The 22,744-nt window shown below is 37.7% G+C and overlaps 1 protein-coding gene across 31 annotated transcripts in view; it reads right to left on the bottom strand.

Moving 5' to 3' along the window:
- Positions 1–22,744, bottom strand: part of TENM3 (teneurin transmembrane protein 3) — a 1,355,412-nt gene that overhangs the window by 137,628 nt on the left and 1,195,040 nt on the right. For all 31 annotated transcript variants that reach the window (XM_017008385.2, XM_017008389.2, XM_017008390.2 and 28 more), the window contains one exon: positions 11,504–11,626. In XM_017008385.2, coding sequence (XP_016863874.1) covers positions 11,504–11,626 — 123 coding nt within the window. The remainder of the gene's footprint in view (positions 1–11,503; positions 11,627–22,744) is intronic.

Below are 22,744 nucleotides of genomic sequence, written 5' to 3'. Positions count from 1 at the left end.
TTGGGGGACTAGGTACATTGTCAATGAGAAGTAATATTTTGAAAGCAATCTTTTTCTCTGAGCAGTAGGTCTCAACAGTGGGCTTAAAATATTTAGTAGCCACGTTGTAAACAGATGTGCTGTCATCCAGGCTTTGTTGTTCCATTTATAGAGCACAGGCAGAGTAGAATTAGCATAATTCTTAAGGGCCCTAGGATTCTAGGAATGGTCAATAAGCATTGGCTTTAACTTCAAGTCACCAGCTGCATCACTAACAGAGTCAGCCTGTCCCTGGAAGCTTTGAAGCCAGGCCTTGACTTCTCCTCTCTAGCTATGAAAACCCTAGATGGCATCTTCTTCCAGTCTAAGGCTCTTTCATCTACATTGAAAATCTGTTTAGTGTAGCTACATTCATCAGTGATCTTAGCTAGATCTTCTGGATAACTTGCTGCAGCTTATACATCAGAACCTGCTGCTTCACCTTGCATTTTTATGTTGCAGAGACGGGTTCGTTCCTCAAACCTCATGAACCAACCTTTGCTAACTTCAAACTTTTATTCTGCAGCTTCCTCACCTCTCTCAGCCTTCATAGATTTGAAGAGACAGCCTTGCTCTGGAGTAGGCTTTAGCTCAAGGGAATGTTATATCTGGTTTGATCGTCTATCCAGGCCACTCAAATGTTCTCCTTATCAGTAATAAGGCTGTTTTGCTTTCCTATCATTCATGTGCTCACTGGAATCGTGCTTTCAATTGCCTTTAAAAACTTCTCCTTTGCACTCACAACCTGGCCAAGTATTTGGTGCAGGAGGCTTAGCTTTCAGCCGATCTCATCTTGGACATGCCTTCCCCACTAAGCTTAATCATTTCTAGCTTTTGACTTAAACTGAGAGACGTGTGATTCTTCCTTTCACTTGAATACTTAGAGGCCACTGTAGGGTTATTGATTGGCCTAATTTCAATACTGTTTTGTCTCAGGAAATAGGGAGGTCCAAGAAGAGAAAGATGGTGGGGATGCTGGTCACGGAGCAGTCAGAACACACACATTTATTAAGTTCGCTGTCTTATGTGGGTGTGGTTTCTGGCACCCCAAAACAATTATAAGAGCAACATCAAAGGTCACTGATTGAAGGTCACTGTAACAGATCTAATAATAATGAAAAAGTTTGAAATATTTTGAGAATTACCAAAATGCAACAGAGAGACATGATGTGAGCACATGCTGTTGGAAAAATGGTGCCGATAGACTTGCTTGACGCAGGGCTGCCACAAACATTCAGTTTGTAAAAAACACGGTATCTGGGAGGCATGATAAAGCGTAATAAAATAAGATCTTCCTGTAATACGATGAAAGCATTACAAAATTATAGTATCAAAGGTGAATTAATATGAGCCAAAGTTCCATTTTTCACCGCATTCTGAGTATACCAGATAAACAAAGTACCACTAAGTAGAAGAATAACAGGTAAAATTAGCAGTATTTTGCTAAGCCTTGGTAAAGTCTTTTTTGGCATCCTACACAGAAACCGGGAAAAGGATTGGTTCTAAAAACAGTGTAATAAATCTTTTTCAAAGTAGTTAGTTGCTGATTCCTTGCTTTTATGAGAAATGTGATAGAACTGGCAGCTTATAGACAACGTATTTTTTAGAAATAGATCACAATGTGATTTTTGACATATGACTAACAAGAATGTCAAATAACTGAACAGAATCACTTAAAAAAATCCTCCCATTGTCACTTACTTATTTTGTAGCAAGATTTCTTTTGTTTATATTCATAAGAAAGGAAAACAGGATTAGAAATGAAACTGAATTTTGTTTTATTCTTATAAGGTATATTCATCTATGAATATACAAACTATTTGAAAAAAGTTCCCATTCATTTCAGAGAGGTACTTTCAATACATTTTCACTTTTTATGTTTCATATTATCAAAATGTTTAACACATTTATATTTCAATACATTTTCACTTTTTGTGTTTCAAATTATCAACATGTTTAACACATTTATATAAGAATTAGGTTGTTTTCAGTCAAATGTGTACAACTAATAATTGTAAGTATAATTTAATATAGAAGAAAACAGGTTTTTTAAAACGTATGATCTCAAAAAATAAATAAATTTAAATTTGTATAGCTATTTTGTTGAAGGGGGTCACAAAAACAAAATAGTTTGAAGCCCACTGATCTATTCTAGCTTTTCCCATGAAATATGAATCTCATCTCTAAAGTGCCTGTCAACTTCTATTTGCTTCAAGTTATTACACTAGTTAGAATGAATTTATTCTGAATTACAGTCTTAGAATGTGTCTTTTCTAAAAGGTACTTGCAGATCTGACCTCTCTTTCTAATCAGTGATGTAGAGATATAAGGACATCACTGATTTTTCTCTGCAAGATCCACTGAAACGGCAGCTTAGATTAGTACAGCCTTCCTGTTTAAGCCTCTAGTTTGAATACAGGGGACTAGGGTTTCGTGAAGGGGCTTTGTCTTTAAATTCTGCACTGCTGCTTTTCAAGTCACAGCCATTCTCTCATTTGGACAAGTCAAGTGTGTTCATTCCTGTTAGCATTTTCAAATGCTCTTTATTGATGGTAAACACACCTGGAAGTCAGTGGGCCATTGACACAGTTTGATAAACTTGTAAATACTTGCACAACTTTTTCCTCTGAAGCTCATCAGTCCTCTTAGATAAAAGCCTGGACACAGAAGTCTTTCATCATGTCCCGAATTCCAGAAAACTTTGGCTTCAGAAGAAATAAAAAAAGGCCAGTTCTAGGGCTCTCTATCCTCCCTTACTGAGATCACTACCTCCATAAAGCCCTAGAGCCTGAACCTGGGAATGATCATAGGAAACACTAAGGTTGTCTGTAGGTTTTACTAAAAGGAAAAGGAGGAAAACTGGAGGAAAAAATAGAGACAGGGCAACAGAGTGCCCTGTAGTTATTCTAAACTCAAAGCTTGTGGGTTAGGAATCAAACCAATTAAAGCCTTCACAGTAAGAGTGAAACGTACCACGTCTTCAAACACAATAGGGTATCATCTTGAAGGTTTTTTTCAACGTGTCCTGTTGTGCCTGAATGTGGGAGCCACTAGCAGTCTTTTCACCTACTAACTGTGATTTTTTTCTTTCATCAGTAAGTATGTGTCACAACAGTCTTAATGTCTTAAAATACAGTTGTCAGAGTGTGAAAACAGAGAGAGACCACATACGCAAAGCTATTGTTATTCCTCTCCTTCTTATGTGATACCCAGTTCATATGAAAACACATCAGTGGAGTGACAGCTTTTCAGATAATGCCTTTTCAAAAGTACTTTGAACTGAAAAACACTTTATAAATAATAGTTTACCAACCGAGATGCTGTAAGGACAAAACAGAAGATTTAAAGTCATATTGGTAATTAGGAGGTTTGGTATCTGTTTGAAAACTATTTTGTGCTATCAGAAAAATCAGTGAAAATTATAAAATGCTAAGTTTTCTGCCATATATATCATGAATTTGCCACCTGCCTATGATGTGAGTAAACAAGCCTATAATGAGTGAAACGGAAAGGCAGAAAAGAAATTCACTGTCAAAGTCTAACTGCAATTGTTGCGGAAGGTAAATGATAATATCATCTTAAATCCCACAGAGGCACTAATAATTAAGACGTCAGGAAGCAAGGTTGGGCATTTGTAGACAATCAGTAGCCCACCCTCCAATTCTATGACCTAACCTTGGATTCATACCCTGGCTTTGAGATCTCTGAGAGAACATATCTTTTTATAAACAACCGCATGCCATAATTTAGCATTGTGGATACAGAGTGTTACATCACAAGCTAAGTGAAATAAGACATAACTACTTTGCAAACATAGCTTAATGGACAAAATCAATATAGCATCTAATTAAGGAGCTATTACACATTGTAATAACACAAGTACTATGAACACTATTGAACAAAACTCAGTGCTCTTGCAGCCCTGTCAGCTCCATTTCTCGAATTCACAGGGAATCTGCAACCTGCTGTCAGACTGAACTCTCTAGAGTTGTCTAGTACTTGAGAAAGTTGATACACGATGATCAAAAATGTAAAATTTAGTCCCAGCTACTCGGGAGGCTGAGGCAGGAGAATGGCATGAACCCAGGTGGTGGAGCTTACAGTGAGCCAAGATCGCGCCACTGCACTCCATCCTGGGTGACAGAGCGAGACTCCGTCTCAAAAAAAAAAAAAAAAAAAAAAAAAATTAAAATTTAAAAGCAATTGGAATTGTTTTGTTTAAGCAGCATAAATCATATGCATATATACACATACACACATATTTGTAGTTTTTCAACTCGTATCCATACAAAAAGAGTTCTTTTGATTGGAGAAGTCACTTGCCATAGTTACATTGCCTGTAATATATAGCCTTTTATTTCAGTCTTTATTATCCTAAATTATCCTAGGCTAAAATTGGGCATGTGTCTTACTGCCCCTTTAGAAGTCAAGCTGGTGTTGAAATGTTCTGTCAGGGTACACTCCGCTTTTCCCTAACGGAGATTTTCTAATTCACTGTAATAACTCGCTCGATTCCCATCTAGCCTAGAATTCACATGCTCTGGAAACAATAGCTGTGATCATCTTGCTTTTACAGCTATATTCCCAGAATCTTGCTCAGTGCGTGGCACATCATAAGTGCTCATTAGACAAATGTAAAATGAATAAATTCTATGCATTAAAAAATACACGATAATATTTCTTTCATAAAATTCAAATAACTAAAAATATAAATAACGAATGATGGGGATTTCCATTATTGCTTTAGAGGATACTACCGATGCTGATTTGCAGAAGTGTCTTCTTAAAATTTTGCTATGAATTACAAGTGCATCATCTTGAATTGCAGAATGAAGAGCAAACAATCACTGATATGCATTGAATAGCTTTCATGTTCCAATCATTGCTTGGCACCCTGCATGCATGACCTGATTCAAACCTCATTGTAAACCTTTATATTACCCTATAAAGAAACAGGAGGTGAGAGTGGTAATTTGCTTAAAGGCACCCAGTGAGTGGCAGAGCTTCAGTTCTTAGCCACTATTCTATACTAGTACTTTGCATATACTTGATGCATGGCCCTTCGTATACTTTATATCATATCATTTAGTTGTATTATTTTCACTCATTCATTCAACTGATACTTTGTGAGCACCTACTACATGCCAGAACTGTGCCAAGAGCTTGGTATACAGCAGTGAAAGAACAGACAGGATCCTTGCCTTATAGTCTAGTAAAGATGAGATGCATTAAATAGTAATAGTGACAACCATAAACATTTTTCAAGCATTTACTATGTACTATACACCATTGTATGTTTACACCTTTGTATATTTGCATTGAATATTCAAGACCAAAGACCATTCTATGAAGTAAATTAGTCCCTTTTAATTGATGAGACCACTTAGGCACAATGAAGCTATATAACCTGTCCCAAGTAGCACAGGCGTTAATGATCAGAACTAGGACACCACATCAGGTGGTGAGGCTCGTAACTCTACACTCCTTGTCTCTGTGTGCTATTGTTTTTATATTGCAGTATGGTGTGATGTACAGCCAGGCTGTGGAGAGCCTTGTAAGTCATTTAAAGGCTTCTGACTAGAATCTAGGTCACTGAAGGGGCTTAGGCAAGGAACTGATATCTCAAATTTGTGTGTGAAGAGTGGATGAGCAAGACTGGAGACATACAGCGCAGATAGAAGGCTACCATATCCAGCTGAGAGAAAACAGGATTCAAAAGATATTATGGGGTCAGAGTTGAAGGAACTTAGAGACTGACTAAATACGGGAGATGAGAGAGTAGAAGCAGTCACCGGGCCTCCTGGACCAGTGATGAAGTGAACGACGGTGCCATTTCCTAATATAGGAATCCCTTCTTATCCATAGGGTCTGTGTTCCAAGATCCCCAGTGGATGCCTGGAACTGTGGATAATATCAAACCCTATATATACTATATTTTTTCCTATACATCCATGCCTATGATAGCTTATAAATTAGGCAAGAAAAAGATACTAATAGAACAATTATAACAATATACTGCAATGAAAGTTAAGTGAATGTGGTCTGTCTCTCTCTCTCTCTCAAAGTATCTTAATAGTTTCAGACCACAGTGGACTACAGGTAACTAAAACCACAAAAAGCAAAACTGTGGAGGGGGGGATGTGGGAAGGTACTGTACAGAAATCCCTGAAAGAGAGGCAAATTTGGAAAGAAAGATGGCTTGGCAATTGTATTTTCCAAAGATGGCCACAACAGCATCTTCCATCCCACGTGCCCTTGTGCAATGGCATAACAGGTCCCTAGTCAAGAGGAGGAGTTTAATTCCCCTCCCCAGGAATCTTGGCTGACCTTGCTGACTTCCTGACCAGCAGAATGTGATGGCAGTGAAAGCCTAGAATGGCGACTGCTAGGTTATACAAAGCTGGTAGTTTCTGTCAGGCTCTTGGCATGCTCCCTCTTGGGATATTCCTCTTCAGAACCAGCTGCTATGTTCTAAGAGGCCCAAGCCACATGGAAGGCCATGTCTAGGTGCCCCAGCTGGTGACTACAGTTGAGCTCAGGTCAACAGATGGCATTAACTGCCAGCCATGTGAGTGAGCTACCCTGGACTTCCAGCTCAGTGGAGCCTTTGGTTAACCTTGGTTAACATCTGAAAGCAATCGCAGTGTCCTAAGTAAGAACGCAAGAAGTACCTGGCCAATTCACTGAACCACAAGAGATGATAACATTGCTTTCTAAGCCACTGAGTTTTGTTATGGTTTGTTATGTAGTAATAGATAACCAAAGTAGTTGATGGGTTCTGTTTTAGACACGTGGAGTTTAAGATGCATGGAAAACACCCAAGTGGAAATGTTCCAAAGACAATTGGGTAGATTTTATGTAGTCTACTACTACCACCACTGTCTACAAAATATGTAGTTGAGATCTGGAGCTGAAGAGAGACATCTAGGCTGGACTTACTGATTTGAGAGTTAGGAAGCACAGAGAATGTAACTGGAGCCATGAAAGTGGGTGACAGAATCCAGAGTGATTATATTGTCAAGCGCAGAGTCCTGAGAAACAGCAGTATTTAGGGATCAGGTAGACGGGAGGTGAGTCAACTAAACAGAGACATCATTGCCAAAACAGTCAGGGAGAAAGTCAAAGTGAATGTGGTATCACAGAAGCTAAGGAAAGACTATTGCAACAGGAGGGATAGGTTAACTATTAAATGGTTCCAAAAACTCAAACATGATAAAGAATAAAGAGGTTTCACTGGTGCTACTGACAAAGCAATGGGTAACTCTGGAGACATCAGTTTCAGTGAAGTATGAGTGTGTGGTGAAGGTAGAGGAGGACAAGTCATGAGCTAGGGGTACTGTGAAAGCCCAACTGTAAGGGGGTAAACAGAAGGCAGAGAAGTGATCAAAGTGACTAAGCACACTATGTTCAAGAAGGCTGGAAGCACCGGGCGAGGTGGCTCACGCCAATAATCCTAGCACTTTGGGAGGCTGAGGCAGGAGGATTGCTTGAGCTCAGGAGTTCAAGGCAGCCTGGGCAACACGGTGGAACACTGTCTACAAAATATACAAAAATTAGCCAGGCATGGTGACATGTGCCTGTAGTCCCAGCTACTCGGGAGGCTGAGGTGGGAGGATCACTTGAGCCCAGGAGGTCAAGGCTGCAGTGAGCCAAGCTGTGACTGTGCCACTGCATTCCAGCCTGGGCGACAGAGTGAGACCCTGTCTCAAAATAAGTAAATAAATAAACAAATAAAATAAATAAATAAAAAGAAGGCTGGTAGAAGAGAGAGGCAGTAGGAGGCAAAGTCAAGAGATTATTGTTTTCCAAGATGTGAGAGACTGGAATGTTCAAATGTTGACTGGATGGTATCAGTAGAATGAGGACATTCTGAAGAGAGAATGGGATCAAGAGGACCCCCGCAAAGATGAACCTGGAATATGGGGAGAAAAGGTGGAAGCATAGATCCACATATGTGGAGGAATAAAGATGTGTTTACAGAAAATGAGAGCTCCCCTTGCAAGTTTCTATTTTTTTTAATAGAATGCAGGGTCATCTGCTGAGAGAGGGGTTTGAGTATAGCAGGAAGATCTGAAATAGTTGTTGAGAAGTATGGTGGGGAGAAGTTTGAGAGGGATACTAGGGCTGCCGACTGTTGAATTTGGAAAGTCAGGAGATAGGTACTATTATTCCCTCTTTACATGTGAAGAAATTGAAGCTCAAAGAGGTCAGTGAAGTAACATGCTGAAGGTTACAAAGTAAATAAATGAAGGAGCCAGGATTTGAGTATAGAACTGTGTGATTCTTTCCAGTACATTAGGCTAAATGAATTCCTTGGGCCAGGGGAATAATTTTAGTTTCTGGAAAGAGACCAGTGTTTGAGCTACAAACTTCATTCTTACCTCTTTATTCACTTTGTCCATTTCCATCAGTTTTGTCTAAGACCCTACGCTTCTGATAACTCATCTCTAAAATCTGTAGGCAAAGAAGGTCTCAGGAATAATCAGTAAAGGATGATGGCATATAACAGAAATCCTTCTTTTAGATACTAAATACCATTTAGAAGCTTTGGCTCACTGTTAACTTAAATGCAAGCAGGGAGTTTACTGCACCCTTAGCACAATGATTGTTCCTTAGAATTATATTTACAAAATAAGAGTAAAATAGGACTGCACAAGTAAGAGTATTACATTTAGAAGCTGTGAAATAATTTTCTCACTATGCTTTTCACAGTTCATTCTCCTAGTGAGCTTTGTTCAGAATTCTAAAGCTTTCTCAAGGGTTGTAATCTCCTAGAATTTCTAAAGAGATGATGTGATCTGCTTCTTGGATAGCATATAAAATTTAAGTAGTGGGTGGTGGGTGGTGGTGCATGGACACTGAGGTTCATCACGAAAGCCGAAAAGCAGCGGTTTGCAGCTACCTCCCTCCTTGTAAATAGAGTTCCCGTCCACTCCCTGTGCCCCAGGTCTTTAAGAACAATATTTAGGAGATATTAAGAACTTGTATTTGGAAAATCAGAAACAAGAATTCCTTACAATTTAGGGTTTTGGGGGCGATTCAAGTAATAATAAAGAAGGCAAGTAACTAATAGTTAGGTCACTCTTTGGACAAGGTCAGAGCCCAGAGAGAGATAGCTTTTCCATGCAGGGAAATTCCTACAAATCCCCTAGTCCAGTTGGCAGTTCTCTAGTGCACTTAACTGATTCTGGGGCTTCCGTTAACCATTCCCTATATAGGAGACTTTTACACATCTAGGAAGAAAGTACTTCGCTTATATGTATATACAGGTGCTCTAAAGGTGCACAGAACTGTATAAAACTGAATTCTATGATCACTTGGGGGAACTTCAGTCCCCCTTAGAGAAGGAGGCTACCAAAGCAGTATTTCTGAAATTACAGAGCACAATATTTCATAAAGTATGAAATTATTTTAGTGGGTTGCAAGTGGCGTTTGTTAAAAATGAGAAATACAATAAAATAAAATGGAAAATCCCAGGATGCATTTTACAAGGCAAGGATAAATATTATTTTGGGAAGCATATTTCAGATACATATGTATATGTGTGTGTATATGTTGGCTTTGATGTAACATGTATTTCTTATTGCATTGTCATGGTCAATAGCTTAAAAGCCACTGTTTTCAAGGACTCCAGCTTTACGGAGATTTCTATTAATATGGCCACATTCATGTGATGTTCTTTTTTCTTCCAAACCTCTGCGACTGATAGGATCCTAGGCAGCCCATTCCACAGCTGCCCTAAAATTTTCTTGCAAATCTGAATAACCAAGCACGCCGCCCAAAGTTACAAAGTAAACAGGCGAAAGAGCGAGGATTTGAATATAGGCTTCTGTGAGCTGAGGAGTGCTGACGTGAGCAGAGGTATTCCCTGGCAAAATACCAGCAGCCAGCACCCAGCACCCAGGCTGTGGGAGTCTCTAAATCCACAGCTTTCTCAGTATCATGCTTTTCAGGACTGTGAAACTAATTAGCCAAACTCTATTTTCATTTTAATCATAATAAAAGGTTAAGATGTTGTAAAATAAATACAATATCCATAATAAGCGTTTGTCTCTTTGGTATAATTACAATTTCTTCAGTCTGTAAAAAAGTTCCCTACATGTATGGTTAATAAGTACCATTCGATCATCTTCACAGGAACCATGCATTTTAAGAGACAGTCTAAATTTCAGTCAATACAAACCAAAATAAATATTCTTAATTTCTGTATAGTTACTCATTTTGTTTATATATGTTATTAATGTATAAAAAAGGTAATTGAAATTTATGTAATTAAAATTTCCCAATCTATAGTTTCAACCCTCTTTAACCCCCTCTACAGTGACTGCCACTGTCTACTTTAGGTGGGTGACATGTCAGTCACCAGCTTACAGTTCTTCTGGAACATGCAGAACTTTATATAAAAAGGTTCCATATGGCGGGGGATTCACTATTATTATAAAAATCGAATGTCGTAAAATTCCTCAACCTCCCTAAGGAGAAAGAGAATGTCATAAAGTATTATCATTAGGAAAAAAAAGAATAAAAAAGTGTACAAAGTATTCATCCCAGTAAATGGGTACATGTGACACAGCAACATATAATAAGTTCATTAAATGTAGAATAATTTCTTTCCAGTCTTGCAAAGAAACCAGCCACATGAGGATAGACATATTAATGCCAAAGCTGAACACCAATATACTAGACAAGAAACAAAGAGGAAGACGAGTTAGGGGAATGCTTAAAGGGAAATAATTTATTAACCAGATGACAGAAAAAGGCGTCTTCATCAGGATGCTCTGAGATATAAAGTATTATGATATTTTGCAAAAAGTCAGAGGATACCAAGGCCAAGACATGTACACACACACACACACAGAAATAATATAAAACTATTTGTAACGTAAGTGTACATATGTATGTATACGCTTTTCTAAGTGTTTATATTGAAAAAATGGAATTCTCTAACTACTTAAATTCCATTTTTAATTCAGAGCCAATTGATTTCAAAATCTTTGTTAGCTCAAAGTGCAAATTCTTAAAGGTTTAGAGAAAGGGCAACCAGAGAAAAGGTCAATAAACTATAATCCTTTAATGTGCTTTGCATTTAAATGCTTTTATAATAAAATTAATACAGTGTTCCAACTCCACACGCAAGTTGAATGAAGAAAACCTAATAAACCCAAGGTAATACAAGAGATGATACACTGAATTATAATCTATTTGCAGACTAAAAATAAAACTCAATATACATCTGCAGAAGGGAAAGGCAGAAAAGCCTAGCCATCAAATCAGAAGGCAGAAAATCATATTATTCCTGTAATAAAAATGTGAATTTTCAACCTTTCAAGTAAATTAATTGAAAAAAACTTATAAAAAGATGATATCTGTAATTTCGAACACTTTTCCCTGTTCCATCTAAACTAGATGTAAGCATGGGTAAAAATAAATTTATGGAAAAGGGATGTTAAAAGAGAAACACAGGATACATAATTCTTTCGCTTACCATTGTCTCCAGAAGGTAATGACACAGTGTTTGTTGGCATGGTATCAGAATTCACTTTTCCATTCTCAAATGTGTCATTTTCAGTCTGCTGTAGCTGCCAGTTGAGGCCAAAGAGATGCATTGCTGGGGGTAAAGAACACAAGTTGTTTAAAGATCTGCTGCCTTCAGCTACAACGGCAATTGCTAAGCATGTTTAAAACAAGAGTCATATGTAAAGTTACAATTTCCATTTTCTGAAATACCAAGGATAACTGCGCAATGAAAATTATAAAACAAAGAGTTCCTCAAACAAATATAATTTACATAGCAATGCAGGGCAATATGGTGGCACTTCAATAGTGATTTAATACTATTCACTTCATTGGTACCAGGAAACTCTTAGGAATCAATCATTATTTGCTCTAATTGAGTTCCATTTTTCACCATCTTTTAAGTAACTGGTAGAACACCCTATAACAGCATTTGCCACTTACTAGACCACAGGTCACTTGCAAATTTATGCTACTTTGCTGCAACACCTGTAGATTCTTAAGAGACATGATCCTCTACCTTTGCGTTAAGGTAAACCCAAAAACTTGTCTCACAGATGAATTTGTTGGTACATGAAATTCAGCTGTACAAAATATAATCAAATTTGAATATTCTAAATTTGGGATGAGTAATTTTTGAATTGACGACAAACAATTTAATAATGGTACAGATTAAAAAGCATGTACATGTGTCAGGTAATTTCATGTGAGTTTCTGATGTGGGTAAAATAATTTCATAAATTTATATTTAATACATTTATTAAAATTTATGATTATGTTTACTAATTTGCTTTATTTTAAAAAATTTAAAAAATAACTAGAAGACTATACAACTATAAACATAAGTTTTAAATTCCAGACATAATTTGAAATGTGAATACCCTGTGTATTATTTTTCTTAATTTATCAATGCTATTTAGAAAAATGTGTCGCTGTCATACTCACCTAATATACTAAACATTCATTTGTGCTGCACAGAATATAGTTTAGGAACTAACCCCTAAGGAAGGTTAAATATTTTTAGGGAAACCCAGTGATGGTCATATTACCATATCATGAAAGAGAACTTTTTTTTGATATTTTTAGACATTATTTTACTTACTGTATGTACTGGAATTTACCAGCGCAATGGAGGAAGAATAAGAAGGCAGTGTGATGACTACCACTGTCAAAAAGCCCTTCAGATCCAATACATAAAGTAACGGCACTGACCTGCTACAGTACATGGAGCAGGGGCTTTGGATGCAGTCAGACTTTGGTTCAATCTTCAGTCTAGAATTTAGCCTTGGATAAATTACGTGATATTGTTAGAAATTAGGTTTATTTTTAAAAGGAGGTTTGTTACAACCACCTTATTTAATTTAAGCTCAGGTGAGAAGGTGTAGGCCAGAAGATTCTAGACAGGGCATATGAAGGAGAGCTGGCACAAAGCTGGACAGTTCTTACTGCTGAGGTATTTTATTTAGTCTGGACTCCAGGTTACCGAACTATTTGGAGTCACCTGACTAGACCACGGCACCCCTCAATAAACAGTCCCTTCTGTCTGCAATGCTTCTCCCTGACAGGAAAATACCTGTGCATCCCTCATACCCTGACTGGGTGAAGTGTTTTTCCTAAGACTATTTTAGTTGACTTTCGTATCTCATTTATAAGACATATAACTTTGTATAAGGATACAGTGCCTGATACCTAGTAGGTCTCAATAAGTATCTGTCAAATAAATGAATTAAAGTTAGGAATATTCTATTTTCTGAGATTTTAAAAATCTAAGAAAACACTGTGTGGATAAAATATAGTAATTTAGAGAAAAAGTTAATACATAGAAAACAAATGCGTAAGGCTAAGAGAGGAGAACATGTTAGTAACGGATGAATGACTGCTTTACTATAATGCTGTCTGAAAAGCAGTTGACTGAAAGTCTACTACTACTATATGTAATTAACTAAACTTTAAAAATTTGGTAGTTTTAGGATATTCTATTAACAGTCCACATTCTTTTGTTAATAATACCTGATATAAAAGCATGCTATAGTAAGAAAGATACCAAAAATAGGTAGATAGCGACATCTACCCTGTATATTTTAAATAAATGTATATAGTCACACTCCCTGCTAAAGTTGTCCTTGGCCAGCAATTCCTCTTAAACTCTGATTTTCTTTTTTTTTTCTGAGACGGAGTCTCGCTCTGTCACCCAGGATGGAGTGCAGTGGCACGATCTCGGCTCACTGCAACCTCTGTCTCCCGGGTTCAAGCAATTTTCGTGCTTCAGCCTCCCGAGTAGCTGGGACTACAGGCGCACGCCGCCACGCCCAGCTAATTTTTTGTATTTTTTTTTTATTACAGACGGGGTTTCACCGTTCTGCCCAGGCTGTTCTCGAACTCCTGAACTCAGGCAATCCGCATGCCTCGGCCTCCCAAAGTGCTAGGATTACAGGCTTGAGCCACTGCGCCCGGCCTAAACTCTGATTTTCACGGATTAAGATATAGGTTATAGGATTCTTCAATTTACAAGTTGTCATCATGTAAAAAGGTATAACTTCATGTGTCATTCTGCATTAAATTGCATAGTGTTTGACTTGCTAAACACTTATCACATCATACATTTTTCAGGGTTTCAGATGCTTCACGAGTTTTGAACAAAATAATGGGAGCTTAGTTTTGCATAGAGTAAAATGTTTGACAGACACACTCTGGCATAGCAGCAATAAATATTCCAAGAGGGTCAAAGTTTCCACACAAAATAATTTGTCATCATTGTGATCTTTTAACATAAAAAGTCTTCTTGCCTGATAGATTTGCTCACATTATCGGTTTTAATGGATTTTGAAGAGTAGACATAATCCATGGGATCATGCGCAGATGTCATATGTTAGAAAGTAATGTAATGTTTATGTTGGGAGAGCTATTTTATTTTTTGCCAGATAGGCAACAGCTTTGTTTTATATATATATATATATATATATATATATATATATTTTTTTTTATTACAGAAAATCTCAATAAAGTGAGATGCTGGTTCTACTGAAGATGCTATATAATGAGACTCATATCCAGAAATATTATCTCTTTAATACTGCATTGAAAACAGAAACCAATGAGTTGTTTGGTCTTAGGATATTATCTACTTTGAAATTGTTGGTGTTTCGTATTTAGTGATGCCCTTGACTCTCATTATGCATAATTTAAGATATTCATACGAATGCAGGGTGGTAGTGGGGCTGACTCTCCAAAGTTAGAGAGAGGAGAGAGAGAGACGAGAAGAAGGAGAGAAAGGAGAGAGGCAGGCAGCAAACTCATGAAAGTCAAGAATGCTACAGAAATTACTGAGCAGTGGTGTAATAAAACTAAATGGGGTATCTGGCAGAAAAAAAGGGAAAATTCGCCAAATAAAATACATCTGAAAATAAAGAAGGGTAAGTCCAGTTCTTCAATGCCTGAGTTGGAAAGCAGAACTGAACTCATGGAAAAGCATTTGCTGCCACTATTCATGGATGGCACAAAGGATCCTTGGTTTAGGCATGTCCCAGTGTAGGGTGTGCAGACAGTGGCAAGAAGAAGCTGGGGGCGCTGTGCTCTTCTGAGTCCCTCACTGCCCTGGGTCTCAGGTGAAGACGTACAAGCCAGGAGTGATACCAGGCATCCCCGGCCACAGACATGGTCCTTGTGCTGGTGGTAGAACATCATGATGCAATATGCATTTCAAACCAGTCATTGAACAAACACTGTGTGTCAGGAACTGTACTAGTACTTCATTGGTATTATCTCTAATCTTCACAAAGGTTCTGTTGAATGGTTATTATGACTTATTTTTTTTCGTTTTAAATCCAAGAAAGTGGAGATTAGTTGAGAGTTTAAGGTTGTTTGAGAGTTTGCATGCAGTTTGCAATGGATGTTAACCTCAAACCCCGACCTTCTGATGACAAAAGATGTATCACCACATACCTCTGTATTCTACCAGAGGGTAGTGGGATGTGAAAATCCATAGAGAAGGAAGTGAAACACAGCTTGTGTGGGGGCCACAGGCTACGATAACACTTCTCTACTACATCCAAAGACACTGCAGGCTGGGGCAGTACTTGGGGGCTGGGGCCGAGGATATCACTAGGTGACATCTGTGTGTCCTGGGCACCATTCTACGCAGCACTTTCCCACTATTCTGTCTAAAACTAAAGTTTTACAGTAATATGATGATGATAGTAATGAAATTAAGAACAGGCTATTTTGTTTAACTCCAAGATTCTTAAAAAACAACAACTTAAAAGTTACAAAAGTACAAAAGTAAGCATTATAGTTGTGAACTTTAAGGTTACAGAAATAATCATGTAGATTTAATCATGAAAAATTTTTATTTCTAGTATTATGCTTCTTAGTTTTATGTCACTTCCATGTATTTCTAGGTGAATATAATAGTGAAAGTGCCTGGATTCATATCCAAAATGTTATCCAAGGCAGAATGAAATTTGTAGATGACAGCAATACTGCCTATCTGAGATATATATTTATCAGTGTGTTTTTCACAATTTAAAAAACCTTGAAGTCCATTATCTTCTTTTTTTGTAGAAAGAATGATTATATTTGCCCCATGAGGTAAATATAATAAGAAGTTGTCCAAATGTTAAAACTAGTAAATACAAGATTTTTACCAACTATAAATGGGAGTATTTTGCAAGACAATTTTTAAGTTGGTTGTCTGGAATTGGGATGTATTTTCTCATATTAAAAATCTCAGAAATGGTGGTGAAGTCCCCAGTGCATCTACAAAAGTCTGTTTGTATACCCCATAGAAATATGTATCCACATAGTAACAAAAGGCATAAACAACAATATTCACAGAAGCATTATTTGTAATAGCCCCAAACTGGAAACAACCCCAAACTGGACATCTGCCAGCAGTAGAATGGAAAAACAAATTATAGTGCAGATATACAATGGACTTCTACACAGCAGCATTAGGGAATGAACTGCTGGCAGACACAACAATATAGATGAATCTCACAAGCCTAATGTTGGGCAAAAGAAAGCAGTCACACACAAAAAAGGGAATACTGTATAAGTTCATGTATATAAAGTTCAAAGGCAGGTAAAATCAACTGAGAAGAATGAAAGTCACCATGGTGATGACCTCTAGGAAGGAAGGAACAGGTAGTGGCTGGCATAGTCCCTAGAGGTTTCTGGAGTGCTGCTCACATTCTATCTGGGAGGTGGTTCCAATGGTGTGTTCACTTATTGCGATCCATATACTTTTCTAAATGTATATTATACTTAAATAAAAATTACTTAGGCAGGGCGCAGTGGCTCACCTCTGTAATCCTACCTAGCATTTTGTGAGGCTGAGGTGGGCGGATCACTTGAGGTCAGGAGTTTGAGACCAGCCTGACCAACATGGCAAAACCCAGTCTCTACTAAAACAAAAATTAATCAAGTGTAGTGGCAGGCGCCTGTAATCCCAGTTATTTGGGAGGCTGAGGCAGGAGAATCGCTTGAACCTGGGAGGCGGAGGTTGCAGTGAGCCAAGATCATGCCACTGCACTCCAGCCTGGGTGACAAAATGAGACTCTGTTTCAAAAAAAAAAAAACAACTTAAAAGTAATCCATCTAACACCCAGCATAGCTAAAAATAACATACATTTTTTTACCCTCCCTAAATCTTCGCTAAAAGTGGTTTCCTCCATAAGGCTAGCAGCCTTTCCTTTCATGATGTTGCAGGTGAGTCAACTGTGATGGTCTGTGCTCCAGCCCGAAGAGGTAACAAATAAATGCAGATGCAGAGTGAAGACAGTACAGAAGAAGGGCACATGACTCCACCAGGTGGGAGGAAAAGGAAAGAGTGAGGAAAGACTTTCCTCAGTGCAAATCTCAGGAAGTGCAAACTTTAAGGAGGAAAGCAATACGATTAAACAAATTCATGTATTGTGGTGATGACTGTCAGCTCATGGCCCTCCCAAATTGATTTTTGTTTAAAAACATTATGATTTGTCTTGGCACAAATGTAAAGAAATGGAAACCCTTGTGTGCTGTTGGCTAGGATTGCAACATTTTGTTGCAAACACTAGGGAAAACAATATGGTGATTCCACAAAAAAATTAAATATAGAAATACCATATGATCCAGCAATCCCACTTCAGGCTACATACCCGAAAGAACTGAAATTAAGGTCTTGAAGAGATACTTACACACTCATGTTCTTACCAGCACTATTCACAATAGTCAAGAGGTGGAAGCAACCCAAATGCCCATCAATGGATGAATGGATAAAGAAACTGTGGTATATACACACAATGGAAGAGTATTCTGCCTTAAAAAGGAAATATTGTCACATGCTATAGAATGCGACATGCAAACCTTGAGGACTTCACGTTAAATGAAGTCAGTCAGTTATAAAAATACAAATACCGTATAATTCCACTTGCATGGACTATCTGAAGTAGTCAAAGTCATAGAATCTTAAAGTAGAATGGTGATGACCAGGGTTTGGGAGGATGGAGAAATGGAGAGTTGTTGTTTGATAGGTACAGAATTTTAGTTTCATACTATAAAAACATTTTGTAAATCTGTTGCACAACAATGCTAATCCTACTGAGCTATACACTTAAAAATGTGTAAGACGATAAATTTTATGTTGTGTGTTTCTTACCAGAATTAAAAACAAAAACTATTATAACTTGTCACCCTGCAGAAAATCGTTGTTGTTAAGATGAAGAAATGGGACTGTGACACAAAGTCGGAAACTTAACCCAGACGGTATGAAGTGACCAGCATCTTACTGTATCTGACTGTACACTGAAGGTCTCTGTGTTTGCTCCTTCAACTTAAGCATGTTTACAAATGGTTTAGAAGAGATGAAAAAGCAATGTTTGGGGTATAAATGTCATGCTTACTTACAGAATCAGGATTTTCAAGGGTTTCTTAATTCTGATATCTTTCAAATTTTTGCTTAATTTCTCTCCTTCCCTTTACTACCAGGTATCTCAAAAGAAGAGACCACAATACATACTTCCTCAGCACACACTTCTTTTCTCCTCACTTTAACTGATGTTCCTCATTACTGTACTAAAATCTTTCTCACAATGGTTATGGGTATCTCTTTTTAAATTTTTTTATTTTTATGTATGTATGTATGTTTGAGATGAAGTCTTGCTCTGTCACCCAGGCTGGAATGCAGTGGCGCAATCCCGGCTCACTGCAGCCTCCACCTCCTGGGTTCAAGCTATTCTCATGCCTCAGTCTCCTGAGTAGCTGGGGTTACAGGCACCCGCCACCACATCCAGCTAATTTTTCTATTTTTAGTAGAGACGGGGTTTCATGATGTTGGTCAGGCTGGTCTTGAACTCCTGACCTCAAGCAATCCACCCGCCTCGGCCTCCCAAAGTGCTGGGATTACAGGAGTGAGTCGCCATCCCCAGCTGGTATCTCTTAAATTGCCACATCCAGTAGCCTCGTGCCAATATTCATCCTGTTTACATCTCAAGAGTACTGGGCATTATTAGCCACACATCATCAATACTTTATTTTCCTTTCATAATTCTCCTGGTTCTCTTCCCAGTTCTCTGCTGGTTCCCAGTTGTTCTCCTTAAATCATTTTGTGGAAGTCTTACAGGCTATTCACAAATAACTAAGTTCTCCTGGACATATATTGGAGTTACTCTTCCCTGCTCTTCTGAAGCCTTATAACTTTGCTTCAGATAAAGAAATGTGGGCAAAAGTAGTATGTCTTACCTCTGTGAGGAAGATTTAAGAACCAATATGTAATGTGTTGCATTCCCATGCAGTAATCATGCAAATGTGCTGAGTACTGTTTCTGTTAAGTCTAGGGCCTTGAGTGAGCAGAAACCCCTTGACAAGAACCACCCTGCACATGTAGCTTAAGCAAAAATAAACCATCATGTTAAGCCACTGTAGTAGGTAGCCTCTGAGATGGCCCCAGATAAGCCCTGTCTTCTGGTATTCACGCCCTTGTATCATCTACTCCCCTTGAGTTTAGGCTTGATTTAGTGACTTGCTTACAATGGAAAGCATATGGCAGAAATAATGCAATGTCTCTTTTGAGCTTAGGTTACGAAAGACTTCAGCTTCTTTTTTGGTTGTTCTCTCTCTCTTTTGGACTGCTTTCCATAGGGAAAACCAGCTGTCATATTATGAGGCAGCCTCATAAAGAGGCCCATGTGGTAAGAGACTGAAGTCTGCCAAAAACCTTGTGTGTGAGCTTGGAAGCACATCCTGCAGCACCAGCTGAGCCTTCAGATGAAACAGCAGCCCCAGTCTGTAGTTTGACTGTAAACTTAACCTTACAGACTGTGAGGCAGAGGCACCCAGCTAAGTTGGGCCCAGTTGCAATTACAAACTGATACAGCCATTTAGGTTTTTAGGGTTGTTTTTACCACTTCATAACCTGCCTACTCCTGACTTATACAATGCCTCCCTCCATGTATTCCCCAAAATATAGACATTTGCCAAAGTCCTTCCTTGACCTTCCTTTCATGTTAACCACTTTTATAATATCAACTTCCAATTCCATGTGGATGGATGACTTTGAAATATGTATCTCTTAACACTGAATTCTTTCCTGACTGGGCTATACTTCAAACTTTACATTTTTCTACTAGACCTACCTAGAAATCCTGTGGTACTTCAAACTTTACTAAAGACAAAATAAATGGTCTTTACCTTCATAATTGTTTTGCTTTCTGGGTTTCTCTTTTCTGTTCATGATATCACTTTAGCCTGGGCAGTGAAGTCACTGATATCATGAACAGAAAAAAGAAACCCAGAAAACAAAACAATTATGAAGATAAAAACCATTTGCTTTGTCTTTAGTAAAGTTTGAAGTAGCACAGGGATCCCTTTAAAATAAGTTGTAACATCTGACATTTGTCATCTATAAAATTAATGAGTATACTTTTTATACTATCACCCAAGTCAATGAGAAAAAAAAATTATAGTAATATCAACTCAGGAGTGACTAACATGGATATGAAGTCATTGATCGTGGTCAAAACCTCTGTTACTAACAGCCAAATAGGCTACTCTAGACTGCATCTTTTTAGGTTGTCTTGTGGTATTCATGAACTGTAACCATTTTCAGATGTTAAAAATTAAATCTTTCTTATGTAATTAAAAAATTATTCTGCAAACTCTTAGTATGTTTCTGTAGATTTTTCCAATAATTAAGAAAAAACCTTATTAATTGAAATAATTTTGAGACAATATGTTAATAAAGATTTATCAGTAAAATTTTATGAAGGAATTTTTTTTCACACACAAAGACCATTAAAGTGAGAGAAATTACAGCATGCATTCCTTTTATTTTCCAAGGCTGGAGACGAACGGAATCCATGGTATTATAGTTATTTCACCTCCTCCCCATAAAATAAAAAGGGGGCATGCCATTGTTTTTAACCCGTATATGTTGGTGTCACACTTAAAAGCCAGCATGTGGAACACTTGAAACCAAAAATGTGTAATTAAAGAAAATTATATACCACCAAGTAACAAATTCAGTGCCATTTTTAGCTCCATGTTGAGAGAAAAAGGTGCCAAATTTTGATCTCGTCTCTGGGGACCATGCCACTGAAGTTGTTACCACAGCTACTATTATTTCTACTGGCATGCTTGAGTCCCCAGATCCTGCCAAAAATGGATGGGAAGGAAGGGTGATGACAGCTGGTGACATAGTCCAGCAATTGCCAGAACCTTGGAGCAAATTACAGGGGATGTTGTGAAGGGAACACAGACCCGAGCACCCAGCCATCAGTCACCTGAAGGTGGTGTGTGCCACCAGAACCCTGAGGAGTGTGCTCTAAGGTTTTGGCAACACAGAGTAGCGTGCTGGGAGGGCCTGCCAGGGTTGGCTAAACGCTGTTTAATATTACAAGATCAAGTGAACATTCTCACAAAGACAAAGAGGATGAGGTAATATGGGAAAGAGAGTCTGATAAGAAAAACTGACTTTAAAAATACCATGCTGAAAATGCCTGCCATTCCATTTTGTTTAGTCTCCCAAACCTCAAAACTTCATCAAAGCAAGCAAGGATGTAGAGTTTCCCTTTCTTGCAATTCACTTCACATTCACTGTGGTACACTTCCAAAAGGAATCTTTCTGAGAAAGATTCATTAGGAACATATTAAGTTGCAGAAAATAAAATCAGAGTCTGACATTACATAGGTAAGTACATTGTTTTCAACACAGATTGTCTATTGCATCTTGTGGGGCCTTTTGTTTGTATTAAAAGAGACTGGAGTCCCTGTCTGAATTCTGGCTTTAAATAATTGTGGAACTTTGGCAAGTTACTGGATCTTTCTGAGGCTTGGCTCTCTCATTTACAAAGAAAATCTGAAGGGTTTGCACTAGATGACCTCTAAGGTCTCTTCCAGATTTATATTCTATGATGTTAATATATTTTAAAATACAAATATTTAGGCTAAATTATTGAGCACAGGGAAAAATATCTGGCATCAATAAGATGTCAACACATTAGAATACCGATGTTGTTCTTGATTTTAATTTTTAAAACTACATTGCATAGAGTCAAACTATCATGTTATACATACGATTCCTTGGATATCTTGGGCTTTGAATGCAGAATTGTTTCATTTTATGTATCAATTTCATGAATACATAAATATACACGATGCACATGTGTATTTCATGTGCTAATAATCAGATTTCACAGAAAAAAATAAGAAAAATACTCTTAAATATAGGGCAATCATTTGATTGGCTACATGTATCCAGAGTGCAACCAAGCTTTCAATGTAAAATGAAAGTATCGCATGTGAAGACTGCAGTTTGTAACTTGGACCCCTACTGGTCTAAACTGTCATTAGGAACACAGAGTTCTCTATAAATTAGCTTTTGTTTTGGATTTCCTGCTGTGTTCATATACGTGTTGACAGAATGTGTTGGGCAATATTTTGGCATTCTAATTCATTATTATTTGTTATTAACTTTTAAGGCTAATATTATTTCAACACTCTATAGCATGCTGACCCAAATATTGTTATTTTAAATCAATATTTCTTTTGAAAGCTTTCATATTAATATGCACTCTAGTTGTCATTAAGGAAAATAAAATTATTCTGTCAACTGTAGGATATTTATATTCAAAAGAACTAACATTTGATATAGGAAGTTCCTCTTTGTATTACATGATAACATTCTAAAAGTATAGGCTTTATGAACGAACAGGTTTGGAGGGAGATACAGAATGGCTGC

This window comes from Homo sapiens, chromosome 4 (genome assembly GCF_000001405.40).
Source record: "Homo sapiens chromosome 4, GRCh38.p14 Primary Assembly".
NCBI lineage: Eukaryota > Metazoa > Chordata > Mammalia > Primates > Hominidae > Homo > Homo sapiens.
Note: the sequence above shows the minus strand (reverse complement) of the source record. Positions and strands in the feature narration are given on the sequence as shown.